Raw genomic sequence first — 27,230 nt, forward strand, 5'->3', positions numbered from 1 at the left:
CCCTTTGCAAACCCCCACCTTTTCTGCCCAGCAGATGGGCAATTGGCTGTCAGCAACCAATCAGACTGATTGCAGGCAGAGTCTTAGTTTCCATAGAAGTGCAACTTTGTAACTTCACCTTAACCTCTGATTGGTTGCTTTTTGCAGCCAATTAGTTGTTTGCACAGGAGTGTGACGTTGGTAACTTCAGCCTCTAATTGGTGGCTTTCCGCCACCAATCAGAGCAACTGCGGACCACCACTTTATTTACATGAGGTGACCACCAAGTGGCCCATGGGAAACCTGTAGGGGGTATTTGGACCCAACAGAATTCTGTAACCCGGGTTTTTGAGCCGCTGCTCAGGCCGCTCCCACACTGTGGAGTGTACTTTCGTTTTCAATAAATCCCTGCTTTCATTCTTTAGTTGCTTCATTCTTTCTTTGTTTTGCTGGGCATTTTGTCCAATTATTTGTTCAAAACGCCAAGAACTTGGACAACTTGCAGTCAAGACCCTCTACTAGTAACAATATTATCATTATTTTTTGACTTGGAGGCCCTGAAGGAAATGCCCCCATTCCAATGAAATACAGCTTAAGCTGTACTTGTCAAAAGATCCCTGACTGTACCCCCACACTGAAATCCCTTCCGGTAGAGACAAAGCATAATAAGAAATTGGGAAAGATGGCCGGGCGCGGTGGCTCACGCCTGTAATCCCAGCATTTTGCGAGGCCGAGGCGGGCGGATCACCTGAGGTTGGGAGTTCGAGACCGGCCTGACCAACATGGAGAAACCCTGTCTCTACTAAAAATACAAAATTAACTGGGTGTGGTGGCACATGGCAGTAATCCCAGCTACCTGGGAGGCTGAGGCAGGAGAATCGCTTGAACCCGGGAGACGGAGGTTGCAGTGAACCAAGATCGGGCCATTGCATTTCAGCCTGGTCAACAAGAGTGAGACTCTGTCTCAAAAAAAAAAAAAAAAAAAAAAGGAAATTGGGGAAGATACATTTTGGACTTCTTTGAATTTTAACCCACACATGTAAGATAATTTTATTTTGAACTTCACTTTCTTTTATCTTTAATGTCTCATGATTTTGACTTATAAGGAGATGGATTTCATTTCTTGGACATTAATTTCTCCCTAGAAACTTGATAAAGGGAGGAGATTTATGTTAAAGTATATTTTTTCTCAATATTATTGGTATTTTCTTATTGAGTTTTTTTTGCGCATATTATTGGAGTGTAGTATACTTTTGTCATGTAATCTCATTGTTGATCCTCTGATATGTGGACAGTATGGATAAACATAATAAAAATTAGTAATAGAAAAATGGAGTTAAGCCTTGGATACAGAATGTCACTGAACCTTTTTTTTTTGTTTGTTTTGAGACAGGGTCTTACTCTGTCACCCAGGCTGGAGTGCAATGGCGTGATCACAGTTCACTGCAGCCTTGACCTCCTGGGCTGAAGCGATCCTCCCACCTCAGCCTCGCAAGTAGCTGGGACTATAGGCATGGGCTACTGCACCTGGCTAATTTTTTTTTTTTTTTTGGTTGTCTTTTGGTAGAGATGGGATTTCACCATGTTGCCCCAGCTGTTGTTGAACTCCTGGGCTCAAGCAATCCACTTGCCTTAGCCTCCCAAATTGTCAGGATCACAGGTGTGAGCCACCACGCCTGGCCCCTGAAATATTAATGTGTTATAGTGAACTATTTTGGAACCTTATGTGAGCAAAATCGCCATTGCCTACCAGGGTTCCTGGAAAGGTACAAAGTAGGGTGGTATGAGAGGGAAGGGTAACGTCATGAAGGTGGGGCAAGGATGGTCCTCACAGGCTGTCAAGATGCTGTCTGGAGGATGTCAGCCACACCTCTGGCTGGCATAGGCTGAATGGTTAAACCAATGTCTTAAGAGAAAAAACATCGAGAGAATATTAGTGGGAAATGATTCTTTTTTGTTTTGAGACAGAGTCTTGCTCTGTTAACCCAAGCTAGAGTGCAGTGGTGTAAATGTGGCTCACTACAACTTCTACCTCCCGAGCTCAAGGGATCCTCTTGCCTTAGCCTCCCAAATAGCTGGGACTACAGGGGCGTTCAACCATGCCCCACTAATTTTTAAATTTTCAGAAGAGACAAGGCATTGCTATGTTACCCAGGCTGGTCTGAAACTCCTGGCCTCGAATGATCCACCCACCTTGGCCTACCAAAGTGCTAGGACTATAGGCGTGAGCCAGCACGCCCACCCAGGAGTGACTCTTAGGCAACCTCGATATTACCTTCTGTGATAGGCTGAATAATGGGCCCCCAAGTATGTTCACATCCTAATTCTCAGAATCTGTGAGTATGTTATATGGCAAAAGGAACTTTGCAGATGTGATTAAGTTGAGGATCTTGAGATAAGAGAGGTTACCTTGTGTGTCCAATATAATCCATTGATCTCTATAAGAAGGACAGAGGAAGAGTCAGTAAAATAAAGTGATGTGACGGCAGAAGCAGATTGGAATGATGAGCTTTGGAGATGGAGGAAGAAGCCGTAAGTCAAGGAATACAGTCCAGTAGAAACTGAAAAGGCAAGAAAACATTCTCCCCTCAGAGGCTTCAGAAGGAACCAGTCCCTCTGACACCTTGACTTTACCCCTAATGAAATGGATTTTGGATTTCTGACCTCAAGAGCTATTGAGAATAAATTTGTTTTCTAAGCATCTATATTTGTGGTAATTTTTTACAGTGGAAAGAAGAGACCTTCTATAAGAAGGAACTTGATTTTATCTCCTGTGTTTTTGGACAGGGTAATTTAATCTGACTGGTAAATTCTAGAATAATAAACTGAACATGATTGGCTTAGTCTCCTTCTCTTTGTTCTTTGGGAGCCAGTCAAGCCCAAGAAAGCACAAGTTCTACTTCTTGCAGGGTAGGATGCTACCCATATGATGAGATGTGCCCCACTCAGTGCTGCTGGACCTGGGTGGCTAATTAAGTTCATGTAACTGTGGTTCAGTATTAGCATTTGGCTTTCATGTTAAGCTATATTCTCCTGTAGTTTTAATCAGAATACAGTGATATTTTGACCTCCACAGACCACTTCTTGGACTTATCTCTTTGCTCATCACTCAGGCATGACAAAATGGTGACTTTGAGGATAATGGATTGAACAAAAATGATACAATCTCTTGTAGCTCCCAATTTCTATAAGTAGTGGAGAAAATTTAAAAAAAAAATCACAACTGCATTGGAAACAAGAAATTTCCAGGAACCAGAAACTATGACAAATCCCTAAATGACATAGGATCAGGTGAAGGAGGTAAGCCACAGTTAAAACTAGAACAGTAGACTATTGCTGCAAAATATAGCGGACACTAAGAATACTCCTTGCCCCAAAGTGGTGGATAGCAGTGACAGGAAGTTCAAAGGTAACTAATAGATTGACTAATTCAGGTACCACAGTAGGACTATCTAGATGGTTCAATTGCTGCTTGCTATCCCTTCTCTATCTGTTTAGCCAGGTAATAGTGATGAGTGGTATCTATCTCCACTCAAGAAAAATGGGTAGGAGGGTGATGATAAGATAAGGCAGTGCCCAACCCCCAGTGTCTGGCAATACCTGGGAGGAGGGGGGTGCACTCACGTTGGAACACTAGCCACCAAGGTATGACCAGTGCTACATCCCATCCTCCCTCACAATAGGCTAAAAAAATAGATGTGACATACATCTAAAAGGACATTGCCTCTGTAAAGATGAGTGACAAATCAAGAATGGATGAACTTTAAAGAAGGCTAACATGAAAGAGAGACAAGAAACTCAATAGACGATAAAACTTCCATCTGAGAAAATGAATTAACACAGCAAGAAGATTAGGTCTTTTCAATAAGTATGACTTGTATCATTAAAGAAATGTGAAAGGGTAATATACATATGTATAAGAATAAATTAGATATTGTGGAAATTTGAATGATTGTTGAAATAATTTAATAGAAGGGGGTTGGGTGTGATGGCTCATGCCCGTAATCCCAAAACTTTGGGAGGCCAAGGAAGGATAGCTTGAGGCTAGGAGTTTGAGACCAGCCTGGGCAACATGGCGAGACTACGTCACTACAAAAAAATAATAAAAAAAATTTAGCCAGGCATGGTGGTGTGTGCCTGTAATCCCAGCTACTCCAGAGGCTGAGGTGGGAGGATCGTTTGAGCCCAGGAGGTCGAGGTGGTAGCAGTGAGCTGTGGATCACACCACTGCACTCCAGCCAGGGCCACAGAGTGAAACCCTGCCTCAAAAAAGTTCCAGAAAGAAAGAAATATGAGTAGGGAAGAGAGGCAGTGCATTTAAATAATTCGAAGAATTATTTAATCTCAGGCTTAGTTTCTGAGATGGAAAGAAACTACAAAGTCCCTACAAATAGCACGAAATTTGTGAATAGAAAAGATAAAGAGAAAAGCCTTAAAATCTTCCAGAGGAAAAAACCAGAAGGAAGGAGAATCAAATTGAAATCAGACTTCTTATCAGTGATATTGTATTAAAAAATATCAGTGTGAGTCAGGTGTGGTGGCTCATGCCTGTAATCCCAGCGCTTTGGAAGGCTGAGGTGGGCGGATCACCTGAGGTCAGGAGTTTGAGACCAGCCTGGCCAACATGGTGAAACTTTGTCTGTACTAAAAATACAAAAATTAACTGGGCGCCTGTAATCCCAGCTACTTGGGAGGCTGAGGCAGGAGGCTCACTCGAACCCAAGAGGTGGAGGCTGCAGTGAGCCGAGATTGTGCCACTGCACTCCAGCATGGGCGACAGAGTGAGACTCTGTCTCAAAAAAAAAAGGAAAAAGAAAAAAAGAAAAAAACATCAGTGCAATGAAGCAATGAAATGTTTGTAGTTTTGAGAGACAGTAACTCAGCCTCCCAAAGTGGTGGGATTGTCCCAGCCTCCCAAAGCACTGGGATTACAAACATGAGCCACCACACCTGGCCAACAATAACTTTTAATTTAGGATTCTGTTAGACCCAATCAAATATAATAAAAAGAGAAGGGCCTTTCCTACCAGACATCTACCTTTATTTTTATTTATTTATTTAGAGACGGAGTCTTGCTCTGTCACCCAGGCTGGAGTGCAGTGGCACAATCTCGGCTCACTGCAACCTCTGCCTCCTGGGCTGAAGCGATTCTCCTGCCACAGCCTCCAAGTAGCTGTGACTACCTGGCTAATTTTTGTATTTTTAGTAGAGACGGGGTTTTACCATGTTGTCCAGGCTGGTCTTGAACTCCTGACCTCCAGTGATCTGCCCACCTGAGCACCCCAAAGTGCTGGGATTACAGGCGTGAGTCACCATGCCTGGCCGAAATCTATCTTTAATATGAAGTTATTGGCTGGACATGGTGGCTCACACCTGTAATCCCAGGACTTTGAGAGGCTGAGGAGGGAACATCGCTTGAGGCCAGCAGTTTGAGACCAGCCTGGGAAACATAGTGAGACCTTTGTCTCTCAAAAAAAAAAAAAAAAAAAAATTAGCCAAGCATGGTGGCACACACCTGTGGTCCTAGCTACTCGGGAGGCTGAGGTGGGAGGATCGTTTGAGCCCAGGAGTTCAAGGCTGCAGTGAGCCATGATCAGCCACTGCACTCCAGTCTGGGCGACAGAGTGAGGCCCTCTCTCAAAAAAACAAAAAATGAAGTTATTGTTATTAAAACAGTGTGATATAAGTGCAAGAATAGATAATTAGACATTTGGAACAGAATAGGGAGCTCAGAAACAGACTCACTCATATATGAAAACTTTATTTGTATAAAATCAACACTCCATACCTGTAGGAAAAAGATACATTAGTCTATCAGTAGTGCTGGGACAATTCGTTATATATAATGAGATCCCTAGCTCACTTCATATAACAAAAACAAATTTCACAGAAGGATTCAAAATGAACAGCAATTTTTAGCAAAAAAAAAGGATAATATTTTTATGGTCTTGCGTAGGGCAAAAGGAAGCCCTATACCCAAACCGTAAAGGAAAAGATTGATAATTTCAGTTATATTAAGATGAAAAAATGTCTGCTTATTAAAAGGCATCATAAAAAGTGAGAAGTTACAATCTGAAAGAAGATATTGGTAACAAATATAACCCACAATAATTAGTATCCAGATTATATGAAGAACTCCAAACTGCAACATCAGCTGGGCGTGGTGGCTCACCCTTGTAATCCCAGCACTTTCCAAGGCCAAGGCAGGTGGATTGCTTAAGCTCAGGAGTTCAGGACCAGCCTGGACAACATGGAGAAACTTCATCTCTACCAAAAATACAAAAAATTAGCTGGACGTGGTGGCACATGCCTGTGTCTCAGCTACTCCAGAGGCTGAGATGGGAGGATCACTTGAGGCCAAGAGGTGGAGGTTGCAGTGAGCCGAAATTGCGCCACTGCGCTCTAACCAGGGCAAAAGAGTGAGACTCTGTCTCAAAATAAACAAACAAAAAACATAAAACCTAAAAAACTGCAACGTCAATCCTTCCCTGAGTTTCTAGCCTGCCAGCCTGCTCTAGACATTTCAGACTTGCTCCTGGCACAATTGTGTCAGCCAATTCCTTAAACTAAACCTTTCTCTCTCTATATAAGTCTATATCCTATTAGTTCTGTTTCTCTGGAGAACCCTGACTAATCCAAGTCAGAAGAATGAAGTCTGGTAGCAACTGGGAGACTCTGAGTGGAGAGAAGTGAAAAGATCCACTGTCAGATGAAGGCAGACCCGTGGGTGAAGAATCATATTGAAGAATCCTCTGTTAGATGAAAAAGCCCACGTGACTGCATGGATTTTGGTTTATGTTGTTGTGTTTTTAACCTTCTGTTAATGCCAGCAATCGATTTTTCCAGATTTCTCTTTGAGTTCTTTTTCGAGAATAGCTGCTTTACTGTAGAGTACAGAATTAGACCCGTTTGGGTTTTCATCAGCAGCCTTCAGATCTGCTGCTCCGCATGCCTCTTTATGAACGCTGGCACCTTTTAAGGATAATTCTAGGCCATCTTAATCTCTTTTAATTTGGTTAATCTTTTCAAGAATTTTTGCATTTTCTTTCAGTTTGGTAAATTGTATAGTGAATTCCCTTTCCTTCCTCTATGGATTTTTTGTATTTTAAAAAATTGTGGTAAACATAACATAAATTTATTATTTTACTGTTTTAACCACTTTTAAGCAATTTCTCATTGTTGTGCAACCATCACCACTATCCATTTCTAGAACTTTTAAAAAATCCCAAACAGAAGCTTGTACCCATTAAACACTAGGTTCCTATTCTCTTCTCCCCTGTCCCCTGGAAACCTCTATTCTACTTTCTGTCTCTATAAAGTTGTCTAGTCTAGGTACCTAATATAAGTGGAACCATATAATATTTTTCCTTTCTATAGCTGCTTTTTTTCTTTTTTTTTGAGATAGAGTCTTGCTCTATTGCCCAGGCTGGAGTGCAATGGCACGATCTCGGCTCACTGCAACCTCCACCTACCGGGTTCAAGTGATTCTCCTGCCTCTGTCTCCAGAGTAGCTGGGATTACAGGCGCCCACCACCAGGGCCAGCTAATTTTTGTATTTTTAGTAGAGACAGGGTTTTGCCATTTTGGCCAGGCTAGTCTCAAACTCCTGACCTTAGGTGATCCACCCGCCTCAGCCTCCCAAAGTGCTAGGATTACAGGTGTGAGCCACTGTGCCTGGCCTACAGCTGCTTTTTAACTGAAGAAAAACTTCTCCAAAACAAGAACTATAAAAAATATCCAATAACTCTTGCCCTTACCATCATCTCCAAAGAGATTTGAAGAGATTGGACTCAGGCTCATGTTTTCAGGCCATGATCTTGCAGGTGTCTCCAGGAGAAGCCTGAAGCTCAGTTCTGAGGCAGTCACAATGCTTTTGGTGAGCCCAAGTTCACCACAGACCTGCCTCTGGGGGTATCGGCCCACTGAACCACAACAGACCACCCATCTCATTCCACAATGTTCAGCTAACCCCGCATGACAGCTGGGACAGCAGGCTCAGGGCTCAGAGAGGCACATTGAAGAACCAGTCCAGCCCATGCTTTAAAAAGTAATAACTCATTTTACTTAACTTTTTAAACTGAAACATAAAACACAGATTCATAAAACTATGAGATAAATTATTGTAAAGAGAACATCTTTGTGACTGCCAATCAGATCAAGAACTAGAACGTTGTCAGCCACCCCCGAAAGCCCCTCTATGTGTCCCATCCAATTTCAACCCTCTTCCATCTCCCAAAAGTAACCGCTTTCTTGCCTTTTTTTTCTTTAAAAAAAAAATCATTTTATTGAGAGGTAATTCACGTAACATACAATTCACTTATTTAAGGGGTACAATTCAATGGCTTTTGGCTTATTTACAGAGTTGTGCAACACCCTCCTGAGTTTTATAGCATTTCCTTGTATCCACTGGTATCTGTAGTTTCAGGCACCCACTGAAGGTCTTGGAACATATGCCTCATAGATAAGGGGGAACTGCTGTAACTGGTCACTTTTGAAGGATGGAAAGCAACTAAAGCAACTAATTCAATATCTTTTTTTTTTTTTTTTTTTTTGAGACAGAGTCTTGCTCTGTCGCCAGGTGCGATCTTGGCTCACTGCAACCTCTGCCTCCCGGGTTCAAGTGATTCTCCTGCCTCAGCCTCCCAAGTAGCTGGGACTACAGGCACCCACCACCGTGATGCCTGGCTTTTTTTCTTTTTTTTTTTAATTTTAGTAGAGACGGGGTTTCACTGTGTTAGCCAGGATGTTCTCCATCTCCTGACCTCGTGATCTGCCCACCTTGGCCTCCCAAAGTGCTGGGATTACAGGTGTGAACCACCACGCCTGAACTAATTCAATTATCTTAAAAACTGGTAAAGTGCCGGGTGCAGTGGCTCATGCCTGTAATCCCAGCACTTTGGGAGCCCGAGGCAGGTGGATCACGAGGTCAGGAGTTCGAGACCAGCCTGGTCAACATGGTGAAACCTTGTCCGTACTAAAAATACAAAAATTACCTGGGCCTGGTGGTGCATGCCTGTAATCCCGGCTATTAAGGAGTCTGAGGCAAGAGAATCGCTTGAACCTGGGAGGCGGAGGTTGCAGTGAGCCAAGATTGCACCACTGCACTCCAGCCTCAGCAACAGAGCAAGACTGTCTCAGAAGCAAAACAAAACAAATCAAAACAAAAACTCGGTAAACAAAGGGACAGAGCCAGCATTTTTCCTGCCTTTCCTATTGAATGAACAGAAACATTCAATTTATCCATCCGTAAATGTGATGCCTTTTCCACTTCAACTAAGCACTTACGTATTGTGGCCTTAACTTTTGCAGTTTGAGATGCAACAGCAAAACTAGCATGATTTCTTTTTCCTTCTTCACAGTGTCACCGATAGAGTCATTCTTAACCACAGATCTTAGCAATCTCGGCATATGATTTCTTTTCTTTCCTTATTGAGAACCTTCACCTTTTCATTTAAAGGGAACACTTTACAGCTTCTCTTTGGCATATATGAATTGCCAGAGTCACTATTCTTGTACTTTGGGGCCATTAGGAAGTAAAATAGGGTGACTTGAATACAAGCACTGTGATATCGTCACAGCCAATCTGATAACCAAGAAGGTTACTAAGTGACTAATGGGCAGGGAGCGCCTACAGTGTGGTTCAGCTGGACAAAAGGAGGACTCACATCCTGTGCGGGAGGGAGCAGGATGGCACGAGATTTCATCACGCTACTCAAATGGCATGCAATTTAAAACTTATGAATTGTTTATTTCTGGAATTGTCCATTTAATATTTTCAGACTGTGGTTGACCGAATGTAACTGAAACAACGAAAAGGGAAACCATAGAGAAAGGGGAGCTGCTATAGTTGTTTTTTTTAAACCATTATGAACACATGGATTTAAATATCTTTGAAGGGTTTCATTCTATCGTAATTATTATCCTTAATGAAGCTCAAGTTGTCCCATCTTGGCCAAAATTGCCTCTTGTGTCCCCTTGGCAGAACTGTAGTTGTCTTTGTTAGCTTCCTTGCTATCTTGTATGACAAGATGCTATAAAGTATATCACTGACTTTTGGTAGGATGTGATATTGACTTAGGAATAGACAAATATGTTGATGGAAATAAGGAATGGGATAATTCATAAGGTTATGCAATAGATATCTGTTTTTGTTGTTGTTGTTGTTGCTGCTGCCGGCATTTATCGCACTTCCTACAAGGACAGTTTCACAAAATTTATTTGAGATATTACTCTTCATTCATTTAGCCTTATTGAAGTGTGTTGAAGGGACTGACCCCGTCTGCAGCTCGGGCTGCCTTGACGTCAGTATATCCAGTTACCCTGTTGGGAGTGACTAGTTTATAAATGGGCATGGCCAGAGCCAACGGGAGATGAGAAGACATTCACTGGGACTTCTAGGAAAGACATTAGGATAATTGGCCTTCCATTTGGAGGAAGATGCTAAATTTCTACTTCTTACCATTGGCAAATATTAATAGAAGTGAAATTAAAACCCTAGAAGAGTCTATGATTATTAGAAGAGGCAGAAAGGCAAAAAGCCATATTGATAGATTGATAATTTGATTACATGATGTCGGAACTATACAACACCATGAAAAAAATTAAGACAAGCAACTGAATAGAAGTAGACATGTTATATACATAACAAAAAACTTGTGTCCAGCTCATGCCTGTCATCCCAGCACTTTTGGAAGCCAAGGCAGGCGGATCACTTGAGCCTAGGAGTTCGAGACCAGCCTGGGCAACATGACGAAACCCCCTCTTTACAAATGATACAAAAATTAACCACCACACCCACAGTCCCAGTTACTCAGGAGGCTGAGATGGGAGGATCACTTGAGCCTGGGAGGCAGAGGCTGCAGTGAGCCATGATCGTGCCACTGTACTCCAGCCTGGGTGACACAGTGAGACCCGGTCTCACAACAAACAAACAAACAAACAAAAACCTTGGCCGGGTGCAGTGGCTCACGCCTGTAATCCCAGCAGTTTGGGAGGCCGAAGTGGGCAGATCACCTGAGGGCAGGAGTTCGAGACCAGCCTGCCCAACATGTCAAAACCCCGTCTTTACTAAAAATACAAAAAATTAGCCGGGCGTGGTTCTGGGCGCCTATAATCCCAGCTACTTGGGAGGCTGAGGCAGGAGAATCACTTGAAACTGGGAGGCAGAGGTTGCAGTGAGCCGAGATAGTGCCATTGCACTCCAGCCTGGGTGACAAAAGCGAAACTCTGTCTCAAAAAAAAAAAAAAAACAACCAACAACCAAACAACCAAACAAACAAAACCCTTATGTCCATACCACAGTAAACCTTCTATATGTGGATAAGAAAAAAGGCAAATCAATAGAAATATGTGCAAAATATATGAATAGATCATTTACATATAAGGATCTGAAAGGGCAACCCCCTTCCCCAACATATGAAAGTTACTCTACCTCTCTAATAGTCAGTAAAGCACATTTTAAAACTTGGTACATAGTAGGATATACCAAAGTTTAACCATTCCCCTACTGGTGGAAAGTTAGATCATTTAAAACTTATTATTACATACAATGCTCATTGAAGATGTGTCTTGCCTCTTTGGAACATATTCGTGCTTTTGAGATGTTAAACCTTATAACCTAAACCTAGAATGTGATAGCAAACATCTTGGTGTCTGCGTCCTGAATAGAAGTTATATATTATGTGAACATACACTAAAATTTAGCATCAGAGTGTTCTTTGAATTGTATTTTTAATCATGTGCTTAATCTAATACACTTGGGAACTACTGGAACTTTTGCTGGTCAGATTAGTTCAAACAGTTAGAAATTGTTCTCTTTCCTTGAAATAAAGCTGATTGAAGGATTATGTTGTCTGAATAGCTGTAGGATTCAGAAACTCCTTTATAAAGACTTACTTTATTTTTAGGTTTAAAAATATCCATGATTTCTTTTGGATTAATGGTCTAAACATGCTTATTTGACTAAAGCCTTACTTTTTTATTTATCATGGCTATAGCTTGTTTGTTGTTCATTAGTTGTAAGTGTGTTCCAGGGAGAGGAAATTGTTTAATCTCTACTCAGTAGGGAAAGAAAATATTTATCAAATTCAAAATATGTATGCCTTTTGTTCAAGCAATTTCAATTTGAGGAGTCTTCCCTACAGAAATACTCATAAGCATATACACACACACATACTCACACACAAGGATGTTCACTGCACCATTGTTTCTAATATATAATTCAGTTGAAAATATGATAAATGTCTATCAACAAAGGAATGAATTAGCAAATCATGACCTGTCCCTAAAATGAGTGACAGCCACATGTATCACCTTGGAAAAATGTCTGTATATGAGAGGGTGCTGGAAGGGAACAGAACTCACCCCCAAATGGTTTGAATGAACATATATATATACATGAACATATACATATATGTATATGTATAGAGAGAGAGAGAGAGAGAGAGAGAGAGAGAGTCTTGCTCTGTCACCCAGGCCTAAGTGCAGTGGTGTGATCATAGCTCACTGCAACCTTCAACTCCTGAGTTTAAGCAATCCTATTGACCCAGCCTCCCAAGTAGCTGGGACTACAGGTGTGCACCACCACCATGCCTGGCTAATTTTTTGAATTTCTTTTTGTAGAGGTGGGATCTTGCTATGTTGCCCAGGCTGCAAATGAAGACATTTTTAAGGAAGAGTTTACTTACAGAGGTTAGGTGCCAAGCAAACAAAGAAGGGATGGTGAAGTGCCTAGAGACTAGCAATGGTGGAAAGTGATGCCCATTCCTAAGGCCTCAGGTACAAAGGAGAGGGCATAGCACAGTAGGAGCCCAGTGAAATTTGGAACCATGGAGGCAGGGCCACCCAGGGAGTTATAGCTAAGGATGGAGACAGCCACTGCAAAAGACAGAGCTGATGCAGGTAGGAAACAAGGAAGGAATACCCTGACTTTTTAAAATTAATTAATTTATTTTTTATTTTTTTCCGAGATGGAGTCTTGCTCTGCCACTCAGAGCTAGAATGCAATGGCACTATCTCGGCTCACTGCAACCTCTGCCTCCCAGGTTCAAGCAATTCTCCTGCCTCAGCCTCTCGAGGAGCTGGGATTATAGACGCGCACCACCACACCCAGCTAATTTTTGTATTTTTAGTAGAGATGGGGTTTCACCATGTTAGCTAGGCTGGTCTTGAACTCCTGACCTCGTGATCCATCCACCTCAGCCTCCCAAAGTACTGGGATTACAGGTGTGAGCCACCACGCCCAGCCTTACCCTGACTTTTTTCCTTTTATTCTCTGATATTTTGCTGCAGAGACCTCTGCAGTGACCTTTGATTGGCTGAACCCACTCGGAAACATTTGGCATGGGAGCCTGAGTAAAGTGGTCCACTGGCCAGAGAGAAAGGACAAATATGGCCCATGAAGATAGAGAATGACTAGCATGATGTTTTGAGGGTATTTTTGGTTTTGAAATCAATTAGCCTGGGCGCCGTAGCTCACACCTGTAACCCCAGCACTTTGGGAGGCTGAGGCAAGAGGATTTCTTGATCTCAGGAGTTGAAGACCAGCCTGGGCAACATAGTAAGACCCTGTCTCTAAAAGAAAAATTTTAAAAGCCGGGTGTAGTAGTCCCAGCTACTCCAGAGGCTGAGATGGGAGGATTGCTTGAGCCTGAGAAGCAGAGGCTGCAGTGAGTCATGATTTCACTCTAGTCTGGGTGACAGAGCAAGACCCTGTCTCAAGAAAAAAAATTATTTTTAATTGACAATAAAAGTTGTATATACTCATTGTGCACAGCATGATGTTTAGATATATGTGTGCATTGTGAGATGGCTAAATCAAGCTAATTAACATATTCATTACCTCACATTTTTTTTTGTATGCGGCGAGAACATTTAAAAACTACCCTCTTAACAATTCCTAAGTACAATTATCCCCCCATATCCAAGAAAAATTGGTTCCGGGACACCCTGTGAATTCCAAAATTTGGGGAATGTTCAAGTACCTTATTAAAAAAAGTGTAGTATTTGTGTATAACCTATGCACATCTTCCAATATATAGTTGGCTTTTGTTATCTGTGGGTTCTGCATCTGTGGATTCAACCAACCAGAAATTGAAAATATTGTGTGTGGGGGGGGGGAAAACAATACAACAATAAAAAATAATACAAATAAAAAGCAATGAAGTATAATAACTATGTAGCATTTGCATTCTATCAGGTATTATAAGTAATCTGGAGATGATTTAAAGGATAGGGAGGATGTACATAGGTTATATGCAAACGCTATACCATTTTATATGGGACTTTAGCATCCTCGCATTTCTGTATCTACAGGGGGTCCTGGAACCAATCCCCCACTTATATGAGGGGGATGTCTATACTTTAAATCATCTCTAGATTACCTATAATACCTTATATAATATGTGTTATATAAATGGTTGTTATACTATCTTTTTAAGTTTGTATTATTTTTAAGTTTTTTTTCCCAAATATTTTTGATATGAGATTGGTAGAATCATGGATGGAAAACCTGAGGATCCAGAGGACTGACTATATATAGCACATTATTTTTATTTATTTATTTATTTATTTATTGAGATGGAGTTTCACTCTGTCACCCAGGCTGGAGTGCAGTGGTGTGATCTCGGCTCACTGCAACCTCTGCCTCCCGGGTTCAAACAGTTCTCATGCCTCAGCCTCCCAAGTAGCTGGGATTGCAGGTGCCTGCCACCATGTCCGGCTAATTTTTGTATTTTTAGTAGTGACAGGGTTTCGCCATGTTGGGCAGGGTAGTCTTGAACTCCTGGCCTCAGGTGATCCACCCATCTCGGCCTCCCAAAGTGCTGGGATTACAGGCATGAGCCACCGTGTCTGGCTACAGTACATTATTAACTATAGTTACCATGTTGTACAAAAGATCTGTTGAATGTATTCCCCCTAAATGAAATTTTATATGCTTTGACCAATATCTCCCCAATTCTCCCTGATGATGTTTATGTTATGTTTTTTAAGTGGAAAAAAAGTTGCATAGCAATATATAATATGCTATTTTTGTAAAAGAAAACCACAACCACATATGTGAAATGCACATGGTTGTATAAACATCAGCATTATGTAAGAACACATAGCAAACTATAAACCTCAGTATTACCTCTAGAGGGTGAAAACAGATGGAGAAGGATTTATTTCTAACTTTCTATATTTTAATTTTTATAATATATTTTCTATTTCTACTAGGTGTGGGCTTTATTGGTTGATTTCTCGGTGAGTGCGTTTCCAAGTGTGAAGGGACCCTTCCTGTAGTGTCTTATATACAATACAGTAGGAATGTTCCTTCTTTGCCACTCATACACCTTTATGTGCATCTCACATGGTGTTCTTCCCCAGGTGGATGTGATTCTCCATGCCAGTGAAGAGTAAGGAAGGCCACAGCATGGTATGGGGATAGAATAAACTCTGCTGGGCTAACAAATAAACCCTGAACTCTCAATGGCTTAATGCAATAAAGATTTGTTTCTTATTCATGCTGATGTTCCTGGCCTGAGAGTTCACCAGAGCAGCTCTTCTCTAAGCAGCAAATTCAGGGATCAGGGCTTCTCCCATCCTGTGCATCTGCCATCTTGGAACCTTCATTTCCAGCCATGTAGAGGAAGAGAGAAGGAGCCTGAGAGACTGGGAGAGGAGTTTTATGCAAGGGAGTGCTGGGAAATGTAGTCTTCCTGGTTCTGCAGGCTGTATAAGAGGCAAAGACCAGCATCTGCTTCTGATGAAGGGCTCAGGAAGCCTCCAATCATGATGGAAGGTGAAGAGGAACCAGAGAGGAAGGAATGAAAGTTTCATTTTAAAAATTAGAGATGAGGTCTTGCTATGTTGCCCAGGCTGGACTCGAACTCCTGGGGTCAAGTGATCCTCCCACCCCAGCCTCCTGAGTAGCTGGAACTACAGTCTCATATCACCACACCCGGCTCAATATATTTTTATATTATAGAAATTTGTTATAAGAATTATGCATTTTTTGTGATTAAATGAATAAAGATAAACTATATTTTGCATAAAAAGAAAGCACTGTTACACTTAAGGCGAAGACAAAGGTAAGAAAACCCCTAAATGGTTATTAAACATTTAATTCACTTAAGGGCACTGCAGAGAGGAAACACTTTTAGAAATCTATGTTAATTCTGTTAACATTAAAGCCAAAGTGTAGGCTGGGCATGGTGGCTCAGGCCTGTAATCCCAGCACTTTGGGAGGCCAAGGTGGGAGGATTGCTTGAGCCCAGGAATTCAAGACCAGCCTGGGCAACATGGTGAAACCCCATCTCTACAAAAAATCAAAAATTAGCTGGGTGTGGTGGCACAAACCTATAGTCCCAGCTTCTCAGGAGGCTGAGGTATTAGGATCTCTTGAGCCTGGTAGGTTGAGGCTGCAGTGAGCCACGAGTGCACCACTGTCGTCCAGTCTGAGCAACAGAGTGAGGTGCTGTCTCAAAAACACCCAAAAAACAACAAGAACAAAATGTCAAAGTCAAAGAGTAGATCTTCTGTGCTCTAGTGTTGGTTAGGATCCTCTGTTGCAAAGATCAGAAATCAAGTCACTCAAGGAATAAAAGGGGAGTTGAAAAAATAGGAATATATGAATGGCTCATAAAATGGAATGATGGCAGGAAATAAAAGTTAAGACTCTCTGTTTGCCTCTCAGGACCTTATCTCTTAATTTTCTCCAGTAAACAAAACAAACTTTCTCTGCTCTTGGGGGAATATAATGGGAATAATATGGCTGCTTCACAGATCCTGAGTTCCATATTTCAGTTCCAGTCATTGAGAAGACTGCCTCAACTCTCTTTAGGTCCATATTCCAAAATCTTGAAAGAATTTGATTGGCAAATTTGGTTTGGATGTCTACCTTTAGTCCAATTAGCTATAGTCAGTGGGCAGGATCATGTAATATAGTACCAAGATACTGGAATATTTTAAATGGAGATAAAGAGATGTTGTCAGGTTAAGGTGGGGGCCATAAGTTCCCAAGCTGCCTACTACAGTTGCACAAAGGACAAAGAATATTATAGATTGATGAGCTAAAAATCACTTTTGCATTGCCCCACAGCTAAAAAATTTAAAAAGAGATTTCTGAGAGAGCCATAAAAAGGCAATAGTAAAACACTGATATAAAATCAGCTGGGGCCAGACAGGGTGACTGACACCTGTAATCTCAGCACTTTGAGAGGCTGAGGTTATCTGCCTGGATCACCTAAGGTCAGGAGTTTGAGACCAGCCTGGCCAACATGGCGAAACCCTGACCCTACTAAAAATACAAAAATTAGCTGAGTGTGGTGGCACGTGCCTGTAATCCCAATTACTCAGGAGGCTGAGGCAGGAGAATCGCTTGAACCCGGGAGGTGGAGGTTGCAGTGAGCCAAGAGCACACTCCAACCTGGGTGACAGAGTGAAACTATGTCTCAAAAACAAAAAACAACAAAACAAACTAAAACAACAAAACAAAACAAATAAACAGAAAAAAAGAATTAGCTGGTAAATCAGCTGGCATATACTATCAGAATAATAAATAAGAGTTGGCCCCCTGGGCTGGGTGCAGTGGCTCATGCCTGTAATCTCAGCAGTTTGGGAGGCCAAGGTGGGTGGATCACCGGAGGTCAGGAGTTCGAGACCAGCCTAACAAATATGGTGAAACCTCATCTCTATTAAAAATACAAAAATCAGCCGGGTGTGGTGGTGCATGCCTATAGTCCCAGCTACTCAGGAGGCTGAGGCAGGAGAATTGCTTGAATTTGGGAGGTGGAGGTTGCAGTGTGCCAAGACCACGCCAGTGCACTCCAGCTTGGGTGACAGAGCAAGATTCCGTCTCCACAAAATAAATAAGAGTTGGCCCTCTGTATTTGTGAGTTCTGCATTTGTGAATTAAACCAACCACTGATTGGAGTTATTCAGAAAAATTAAAAACAACCGTACAATAATAAAAATAATACACATTAAAAAATTGGCCAGGTGCGGTGGCTCACACCTGTAATCCCAGCACTTTGGGAGGCCGAGGTGGGTGGGTCACTTGAGGTCAAGAGGTTGAAAGTAGCCTGGCCAATGGGGCAAAACCCATCTCTACTAAAAATAGAAAAATTAGATGGGTGTGGGGGCCCGCGCCTATAATTTCAGCTACTCGTGAAGCTGAAGCATGAGAATTGCTTGAACCCGGGAGGCGGAGGTTGCAGTGAGATCGTGCCACTGCACTCCAGCCTGGGCTACAGAGGGAGACTATGTCTCAAAACAAAACAAAAACAAAAACAAAACTAGTATAACAACTATTTACATAGCACTTACATTGTATTAGGTATTATATGTAATTTATAGATGATTTAAAGTACATGAAAGGAGGTGAGTAGGTTATACGCAAATCCTATGCCTTTTTTTTTTGACGGAGTCTCACTCTGTCACTCGGGCTGGAGTGTAGTGGTGTGATCTCGGCTCACTGAAACCTCCGCCTCCTGGGTTCAAGTGATTCTTCTGCCTCAGCCTCCCGAGTAGCTGGGACTACAGGCACGTGCCACCATGACTGGCTAATTTTTTTATTTTTAGTAGAGACGGGGGTTTCACCATATTGGTCAGGCTGGTCTTGAACTCCTGACCTCGGGATCTGCCTGCCTCGGCATCCCAAAGTGCTGGGATTACAGGTGTAAGCCACCGTGCCCGGCCTACTATGCAATTTTATACAAGGATCTTGAACTTCTGTGGATTTTGGTATCTGTGGGGAGTCCTCAAACCAAACTCCCATGGATGCTGAGGGACAACTGTACAAATATTGAACAATTGAAAAGGTCACAGATAACTAGATGTAAAAAATAGTTACTGGCTTGAAAAAAGGTAAGAATACCTGATAATTGCACCACATTGTGTAGGTCTCACAGGGTTTCCATATTCCCTTTCCAATATAATAAATAAAACCTTGTAAAAGCAATTGAGGCTGAGTGCAGTGGCTCATGCCTGTAATCCCAGCACTTTGGGAGGCTGAGGCAGGAAGATCATTTGAGTCCAGGAGTTCGAGACCAGACTGGGAAACCTAGGGAGTCCCAATCTCTACAGAAAATTAAAAACAAAACAAAACAAAACAAAAAAACCAACCAGGTGTCATGCACCTGTGGAGTCCCAGCTACTCAGGAGGTTGAGTTGGAAAGATTGCTTGAGACCAGGAATTCAAGGTGGCAGTAAGCGCTAATCACGCCACTGCACTCCAGCCTGGGCAACACAGCAAGACCTCATCTCTTAAATTAAAAAAAAAAAAAAGCAATTGAGTCTCAATAAGTCAAGTCACTTGCTTGAAGTCACACACAAACCACAGACTTAGGACTCAAACTCCTCGTTTTCACTTTATGTGCAGAGGCCTAACTTATAGAAAATGCCTCCTACCTTTTTCAAAGGTAGTTTACTTTTTTTTTTTTAGCATTGAAAGTAAAGGCAGAAATGACTTTTAAAGTGCTACATTTTCAGGGAAAAAAAGTGGATTAGGAACATTAGTTTCCATTCTGGCATGTAAGGAGCTCAGAAGTCACTACTCCTGGCTGGGCACCGTAGCTCATGCCTGCAATCCCAGCACTTTGGGAGGCTGAGGCAAAAGGATTACTTGAGCCCAGGAGTTCAAGACCAGCTGGAGCAACGTGGCAAAACCCCATCTTTACCAACTATACAAAAATTAGCCAGTCGTGGTGGCACATGCCTGTAGTCCCAGTTACTTGGGAGGCTGAGGTGGAAGGATCACTTGAGCCTAGGCAATTAAGGCTGCAGTGGGCCATGATTATACCACTGCACTACAGCCTGGGCAACAGAGCAAGACCTCCAGCTAAAAAAAAAAAAAAAAAAAAAAAAGTCACCACTCCATCTTAGCAAGTAAAAAGCTGAGTAAACTGAAAAATCAACAGCTCTTCTTAGATCCATAAGAGATGGGAGGTCATAGAGTAAACCCCAAATTGGAAACACAGGTGAATGCAGATAATCACAACTTAATTACTGGAGCAGAAATCTTCATGGGAATCAGTGCTGGAGTGGGAAAACCTGAACTGTAATTGACAAATTGCTGGAGGCTTGGTGTGGACAAGTCTGTGAGATAAAAACTTTATTGGGAGGCTCCCACACTTTTGTAGTTTTACCTCCAGGGGCTCTACTAGGTTCTCACAGTGAATTTTGCAAACGATCCTCTCATGCTTCCAACAAGGGGAGAGGAAAAGGAACCATCTTGAAATGCCCTAGAGCATTCTGTTCTTAAGAACAAGGTCTTCCCTCAGGAGAAATTACTTAACTGGAGCCTAACCTGCTGGGGTTTTATAACAGCCTAACTGATCTGGGGGAAGGGAAATACCCAACTCCAGCCTAGTCTAGCTATGTTGTCCCACCTAAGGAGAGGGGGAGACTGAGAAGCACCTGTGAAGTTCACAGTCCAGAGACATAGGCTCACTAAAAGACTGAGACCTAATTATCGGACTGTAGAATGCTTCCTTTCCCTCCACACCTTGCCACCACATTACTAAAGTCCTATTTACAGTAGTTTCTTTAGCCCAAAACATCATGCCTGGCTATCAAGAAAAAATTACAAAGTATACTAAAAGGCAAAAAAACATAGTTTGAAGAGACAAAGCAAGCATCAGAACCAGATGCTCTGGATAAAGTAGACAGCATGCAAGAACAGGTAGGCAATGTAAGCAGAGAAATGGAAACTATAAAAAGAACCAAAAGAAATGTTAGAGAGGCCGGGGGCGGTGGCTCACGTCTGTAATCCCAGCACTTTGGGAGGCCGAGGCGGGCAGATCACGAAGTCAGTTCAAGACCAGCCTGACAAGCATGGTGAAACCTCGTCTGTACTAAAAATACAAAAATTAGCCGGGCATGGTGGCACATGCCTGTAACCCCAGCTACTCAGGAGGCTGAGGCAAGAGAATCGCTTGAACCCAGGAGGCAGAGGTTGCACTGAGCCGAAATCGTGCCTTTGCACTACAGCCTGGGTGACAGAGCGAGACTTCATCTCAAAAACAACAACAAAATGTTAGAGATAAAAAACACTGCAATAGAAATGAAAAATGTCTTTGACGTGCTTATTAGTATACTAAACATGCTGAGGAAAAAATCGCTGTTTGAGGATATCTCAAGAGAAACCTCCCAAACTGAAAAACAAAGAGAAAAAAAGACTGAAAAAAAAAAAAAAGCAACAACAGAAAAGAATATCCAGGAACTGTAGGACAACTACAAAAGGTATAAGTGTGTAATGAGAATACCAGAAGGAGAAGAAAGAGAATACAGAATAAATATTTGAAACAATAGTGATTGAGAATTTCCCCAAGCCAGTGTCAGACACCAAATCACAGATCCAGAAAGCTCAGAGAACACCAATAAGAATACATGTTAAAAAAAAAAAAAACTCTACACCTAGGTATATCATATTTACACTACAGAAAATTTAAGATAAAGAAAAAATCCATATAGAAACCAGAGGTTTAAAAAATCTTATAGAGAAGAAAAGAATTACATCCAACTTCTCCTCAGACAGTATGCAAGCAAGAAGAGAGTGGAGTCAAATATTTAATGTGTTGAGAGAAAAAAATCCCACCAACCTAGAATTCTGTACGCTGTGAAATCATCCTTTAAAAGTGGCACAGAAATAAAGGTCTTCTCAGACAAACAAAAATTGGGGGAATTTGTTGCCTTGCAAGAAATAGTAAAAGAATTTCCTTAGAAAAAAGAAAGAGTATATAGGTCAGAAACTCAGATATACATTAAGAAGGAAAGAACATCCGAGTCAGTGAAGATAAAATTTTAAAAACTTTATTTTTCTTATTTTTAATTGCTCTAACAGATAACATTTTTTTTTCAGAGCTTTGGGGGAATTTATTAGAGCAGATTTTGTGTATGAAAAAGGTGCTGGGCTTTTATCTACCATTAGCAGGTGTCATGCCTGGTGGCCCCCTTATGGCCATCAGTTTGTTGGCCAGACTGCAATGGCTACAATAGCCATAAGCAGCAACAAAATCATCATTATTATCCCACAAGAGGTTGACTTTCTGTCCACCATGTTCAAATGCCTGGTTTCAGTGCAAAGTTTTTCATCTGTGTTTTCCAGCAAATTGGCAGAGATGTTAATTATCTCATTTTGTCCATCCAATTCATTCCCAATTTCCTGCCCCATTTGTTTTTGGCAACTTATGATGGAGGAAATGGCATCGAGGCCTGTGTCCTGTTCTTTGATAATTTTCTGCTTGCTATTGTCAGAGTTCATTGAAACCCAAGCCTCTTGTCTCCTCTGGCTCCTCAAAGAGCCAAGGGTTGGGCACTTCCTAACAGATAACAGTTTGTTCAAAATAATAATAGCAATAATGTTCTAGATTATATATTGCATATATATAGCTATGTATATTTATGTATAAGTGAAACAAATGACCACAATGATACAAAAGATGTGAGAGAGAAATTAGGATTATTTCTTTATTATAAGGTACTCACACTAACTGTGAAGTGGTATGGCATATTCAAAAGTGACTCAGATTCATTGTAAATGTATATTGCAAACTCTGGGGCAATCATTTAAAAAGGTTAGAAAAAAAAGAAGCATAACTGATATGCTAAAAAATGAGAAAAAAATAATTTATATGAAACGCTCAATTGTAACAACAAAAGGCAAAAGAGAAAAAGAGTGAAAGATAAAAATAAGAACAAAGAACAAGAACAACAAATAGAAAACAATAAAAAATATAGTAGATGTTAACCAAACCGTATTAACAATCACTTTGAATGTCAGTGGTCTAAATTCACCAGTTAAAAGAAAGAGATTGTCAGACTGGATCAAAAAACAAGACCCAACTATATGTTGTATATAAGAAACCCACTTTAAATATAAAGACACATATAAACGGGTAGAGAAAGATACACCCTGACAACACTAATCAAAAGAAAGCAGAATTAGCTATGCTTATGTCAGACAGAACAGACTTCAGAGCAAGGAAAGTGGGAAGAAAGAGGGACATTACATAGTGATAAAGGGGTCAATTCTCCAAGAAGACATAACAATCCTTTACCCAGTGTATGCACCTAACAACGGAGTGTCAAAATTTGTGAAGCAAAAACTGACAGAACTGGAAGGATAAATAAATGAATCCACTATTATAACTGGAGACTTCAACATCCCTCTCTCAGGAACGGACAGATCCAGTAGGCAGAAAATCAGTAGGGCATAGTTGAACTCAACACCACCATCAATCAACTGGATGTAATTGACATCTATAGATGACTTTATTAAACAGTAGCAGGTTACATGTTCTTCTCAAAGTCATATAAAACATTTACCCACATAGACCACATTCTGGGCTATAAAATACAACTTAACAACATTTAAAAGAATGAAAATAATGTAATGTCTACTCTCAGACCACAATGAAATTAAACTAGATATTAATAACAGAAAGGTAGTTGGAAAATCCCAATATACTTGGAGATTGAACAATACAATTTTATTTGTTTATTCTTCTCAAGAGAAAATTAAAATATTTTAAACTAAATGAAAATGAAAGCCAGGCATGGTGGTGCACTCCTGTAGTGCTACTCGAGAGGCTGAGGTGGGAGGATCACTTGAGCCCAGGAGTTCGAGGTTATAGTAAGTTATGATCGCACCACTGCACTCCAGCCTGAGCATCAGAGTGATATCCTGTCTCTAAAAAAGAAAAAAAAATTATATGAAAAACACAACTTACCAAATTTGTGGGATGCAGTAAAAGCAGTGCTTACAGGGAAATTTTTGTAGCATTGAATGCGTATATTTGAAAAGAAGAAAGATCTAAAAATCAATAATCTAAGCTTCCACCTTAGGAATCTAGAAAAAGAAGAACAAATTAAGTCTAAACTAAGTAGAAGTGGCCAGTTATGGTGTCTCACACCTGTAATCCCAGCACTTTGGGAGGGTGAAGTGGGAAGATTGCTTGAGGCCAGGAGTTCAAGAACCAGGGTGGGCAACATAGTGAGACTTAGTCTCTACAAATAAATTAAAAAATTAACCAGGCATGATGGTGTATGCCTGTAGTCCAGCTACCTAGGAGGCTGAAGTGGGAGAATCACTTGAACCCAAGAGTTTGAGGTTACAGTGAGCTATGATTGCATCACTGTACTCCAGCCTAGGTGACAGACCGTGTCTGTTAAATAAATAAATGAAAAGTAGGAGAAAAGATTATAAAAATCAGAGGAGAAATCAATGAAATTAAAAATAGGAAATCAAAATCTGGTTCTTTGAAATGATTAATAAAATCAATGAACCTCTTCCCGACTTAATACTTCCTATAAAGCTACAATAATCAAGACAGTGTGGTATTGGTGAAAGACTAGAAAAACAGACCGATAGAATAGAATGGAGAGCCCCAAAGTGAACCCACATAAATATAGACAATTGACCTTTGACAAAGGAGCAAAAGCAAGACAATGGCGCAAAGATAGTCTTTCAACAAATGGTGCTGGAAACCTGACATCCACATGCAGAAAAAAATGAGTCTAGACACAGATCTTACACTCTTCACAAAAATCAACCTAAAATGGGTCACAGACCTAAGAGTAAAACATAAAACTATAAAATTCCTAGAAGATAACAGGAAAAAAATCTAGATGACCCTGGACTTGGTGATTACTTTTCAGATACAACATCAAAGGCACAATCCATGAAAGAAAGAATTGGTAAACTGGACTTTATTAAAATTAAAAAATGTTACTCTGCAAAAGACACTGTGAATTGAATGAAAAGGCAAGCCACAGACTGGAAGAAAATATTTGCAAAAGACATATTTGATAAAGGACTGTTATCCAAAATATACAAAGAACTCTTAAAACTCAACAATAAGAAGAAAAAGAACCTGGACGGGTGTGGTGGCTCATACCTGTAATCCTAGCACTTTGGGAGGCCGAAGAGGGTGAATCACTTTGGGTCAGGAGTTTGAGACCAGCCTGGCCAACATGGTGAAACCCCGTCTCTACCAAAAACTACAAAAATTATCTGGGTATGGTGGTGTGTGCTTGTAATCCCAGCTACTCGGGAGGCTGAGGCAGGAGAATGGCTTGAACCCAGAAGGCAGAGGTTGCAGTGAGCTAAGATCACACTGCTGCACTCTGGCCTGGGTGACACAGCGAGACTCTAACTCCAAAAAAAAAAAAAAAAAAAAAAAAAAAAGAAAGAAAAGAAAAGTAAAGAAAAGAAAAGAAAGAAAACAAGGAACCTGAACAAAAAATGGGCCAATGACCTTAACAGGCACCTCACCAAAGAAGATATTGGTGGTAAATAAATATATGAAAAGACGTCCCAAATCATATGTCATCAGGGAATGCAAATCACAACAGCAATGAGGTACCATTACATATTGATTAGAATGGCCAAAATCTAGAACTGACGATACTAAATTCCCTGATGAGGATGTGGAGCAGCAGAAACTCTCCTTCATTTCTGGTGGGAATTTGAAATGGTATGATGAGTTTGGAAGACAGTTTGGCAGTTTCTTACAAAACTAAACATACTCTCGTCATAAGATCCAGCAGTCATGTGCCTTGGTATTTACCCAAAGGAATTGAAAACTTATGTCCACACAAAAAGCTACACACAGATGCTTACCACAGCTTTATTTGTGATTGCCAAACATCAGAAGCAACCAAGATGTTCTTCAGTAGCTGAGTGAATAAATGGTGGCATATCCAGACAATGGGACATTATTCAGTGCCAAAGAGAGATGAGCTATCAAGTCACGAAAAGATGTGGAGGAAATTTAAGTGCATGTCTGTAAATGAAAGAAGCCAATCTGAAAAGGCTACATGCTGTGATTCCAACTAATGACATTCTGGAAAAGATAAAACTATGAAGACAGTGATCAAAGATCAGTGGTTGCCAGGGGTTAGGAGGGAGGGAGGGATGAACAGGCGAGGTGCAGAGGATTTCCAGGGCAGGTAAACTACTCTGTATGAGACAGTAATGGTGGATACATGTCATTAAACATTTTTCAAACCCACAGAGCGTACAATACCAATAAGGAACCCTAATGTAAACTGCAGACTTTGGGCCAATGTAGGTTCATGAATTGTAACATAGGTACTGCTCTGTGGGCACTGGCAATAATGGGAGAAGTTATGCATGTGTGAGGGCAGGGAGCACGGGGTGTCTCTGTATGTTCCACTCAATTTTGTTGCAAATCTAAAACTGCTCTAAAAAATAGTCTAACAAAGCAAGTTTGGAGAGGAAAATAGATTACATAAAATCATTTTCTTACCTAATTCAAGAGCAAATAGAGTTGAAAACTCACCATAGAAACTACATTTTTTAAAAAACGATTGGGTACAATGGCTTATGCCTGTAATCCCAGCACTTTTGGAGACCAAGGCGAGAGGATTGCTTGAGACCAGGAGTTCATGACCAGCTTAGGCAACATAGTGAGACTTCATTACTACAAAATTTTCTTTCTTTAATTAGCTGGGTGTGGGGGTGTGCACCTGCAGTCCCAGCTACCCAGGAGGCTGAGGTGAGAGGATTGCTTGAGCCTAGGAGTTCAAAGTTACAGTGAGCTATGATCATGCCACTGCACTCCAGCTTGGGTGACAGGGTGAGACCCAGTCTCAAAAAAAAAAAAAAAAAAAAAAACACAACAAACAAACAAAACTAAATTAATAAAAGCAAATAAGGAGAATAATAATGACCAACTTTCAGGGTGTTAGAAGATACACCCCTTGCTTCATCATATTGCTTAATGTGAACCGACTGAATTCTACTAAAAATAGACTTTAAACAAAGTTAGAAAAGAAAACAAGTATCCAACATTCTCTCACCTATAACAGGCATATTACAAATTAAACCATTCAAATAGTCTAAAAGCTAAGGGAAAGCTTAAGATTTATGATGCCTCTGTAGATACAAAACAAGCAGGTGTTATAATCCAGGCTGCAATACTGTTGTAGATGTCTGAGAACTCGGAAGATAATGACTAAGCCTGAGAAAGGGCCAGACAAAGGTAATTGTTTCCCAGTATCCTGGAAGATAAGAGAATCTTTATGGCTACTGGAGGGATGTGGACTCAGCTGCAGTCTTTCTGGCACCAGAAGAAAAGGCATGTGGTAAACTAGATATTTCGTAATAGGGCCCATGGGGCAAACGATTCTATATTAATGATATAGTGTAGGTTTCACCCACAGGATCCCAGGTGTTCTGTGCAGGTGCGCACACCTGTGGAGGAGGAAGCGGAGCAAACTTTAAACTGCACACATTAGGAAGCCTG

At 41.1% G+C, this 27,230-nt stretch overlaps 1 protein-coding gene, 1 non-coding gene and 1 pseudogene across 2 annotated transcripts in view; 2 read left to right on the plus strand and 1 right to left on the minus strand.

The window, feature by feature from the left end:
• The window catches only part of APOLD1 (apolipoprotein L domain containing 1), a 65,550-nt gene that overhangs the window by 23,511 nt on the left and 14,809 nt on the right, over positions 1–27,230 (plus strand). The window lies entirely within an intron of this gene.
• MIR613 (microRNA 613) lies at positions 15,222–15,316 on the plus strand. Its single transcript, NR_030344.1, has one exon. It is a non-coding gene; the product is annotated as a microRNA 613 (primary transcript).
• Positions 21,817–22,274, minus strand: STX8P1 (syntaxin 8 pseudogene 1; annotated as a pseudogene).

The sequence above is a fragment of the Homo sapiens genome, chromosome 12 (genome assembly GCF_000001405.40).
Source record: "Homo sapiens chromosome 12, GRCh38.p14 Primary Assembly".
Lineage (NCBI taxonomy): Eukaryota > Metazoa > Chordata > Mammalia > Primates > Hominidae > Homo > Homo sapiens.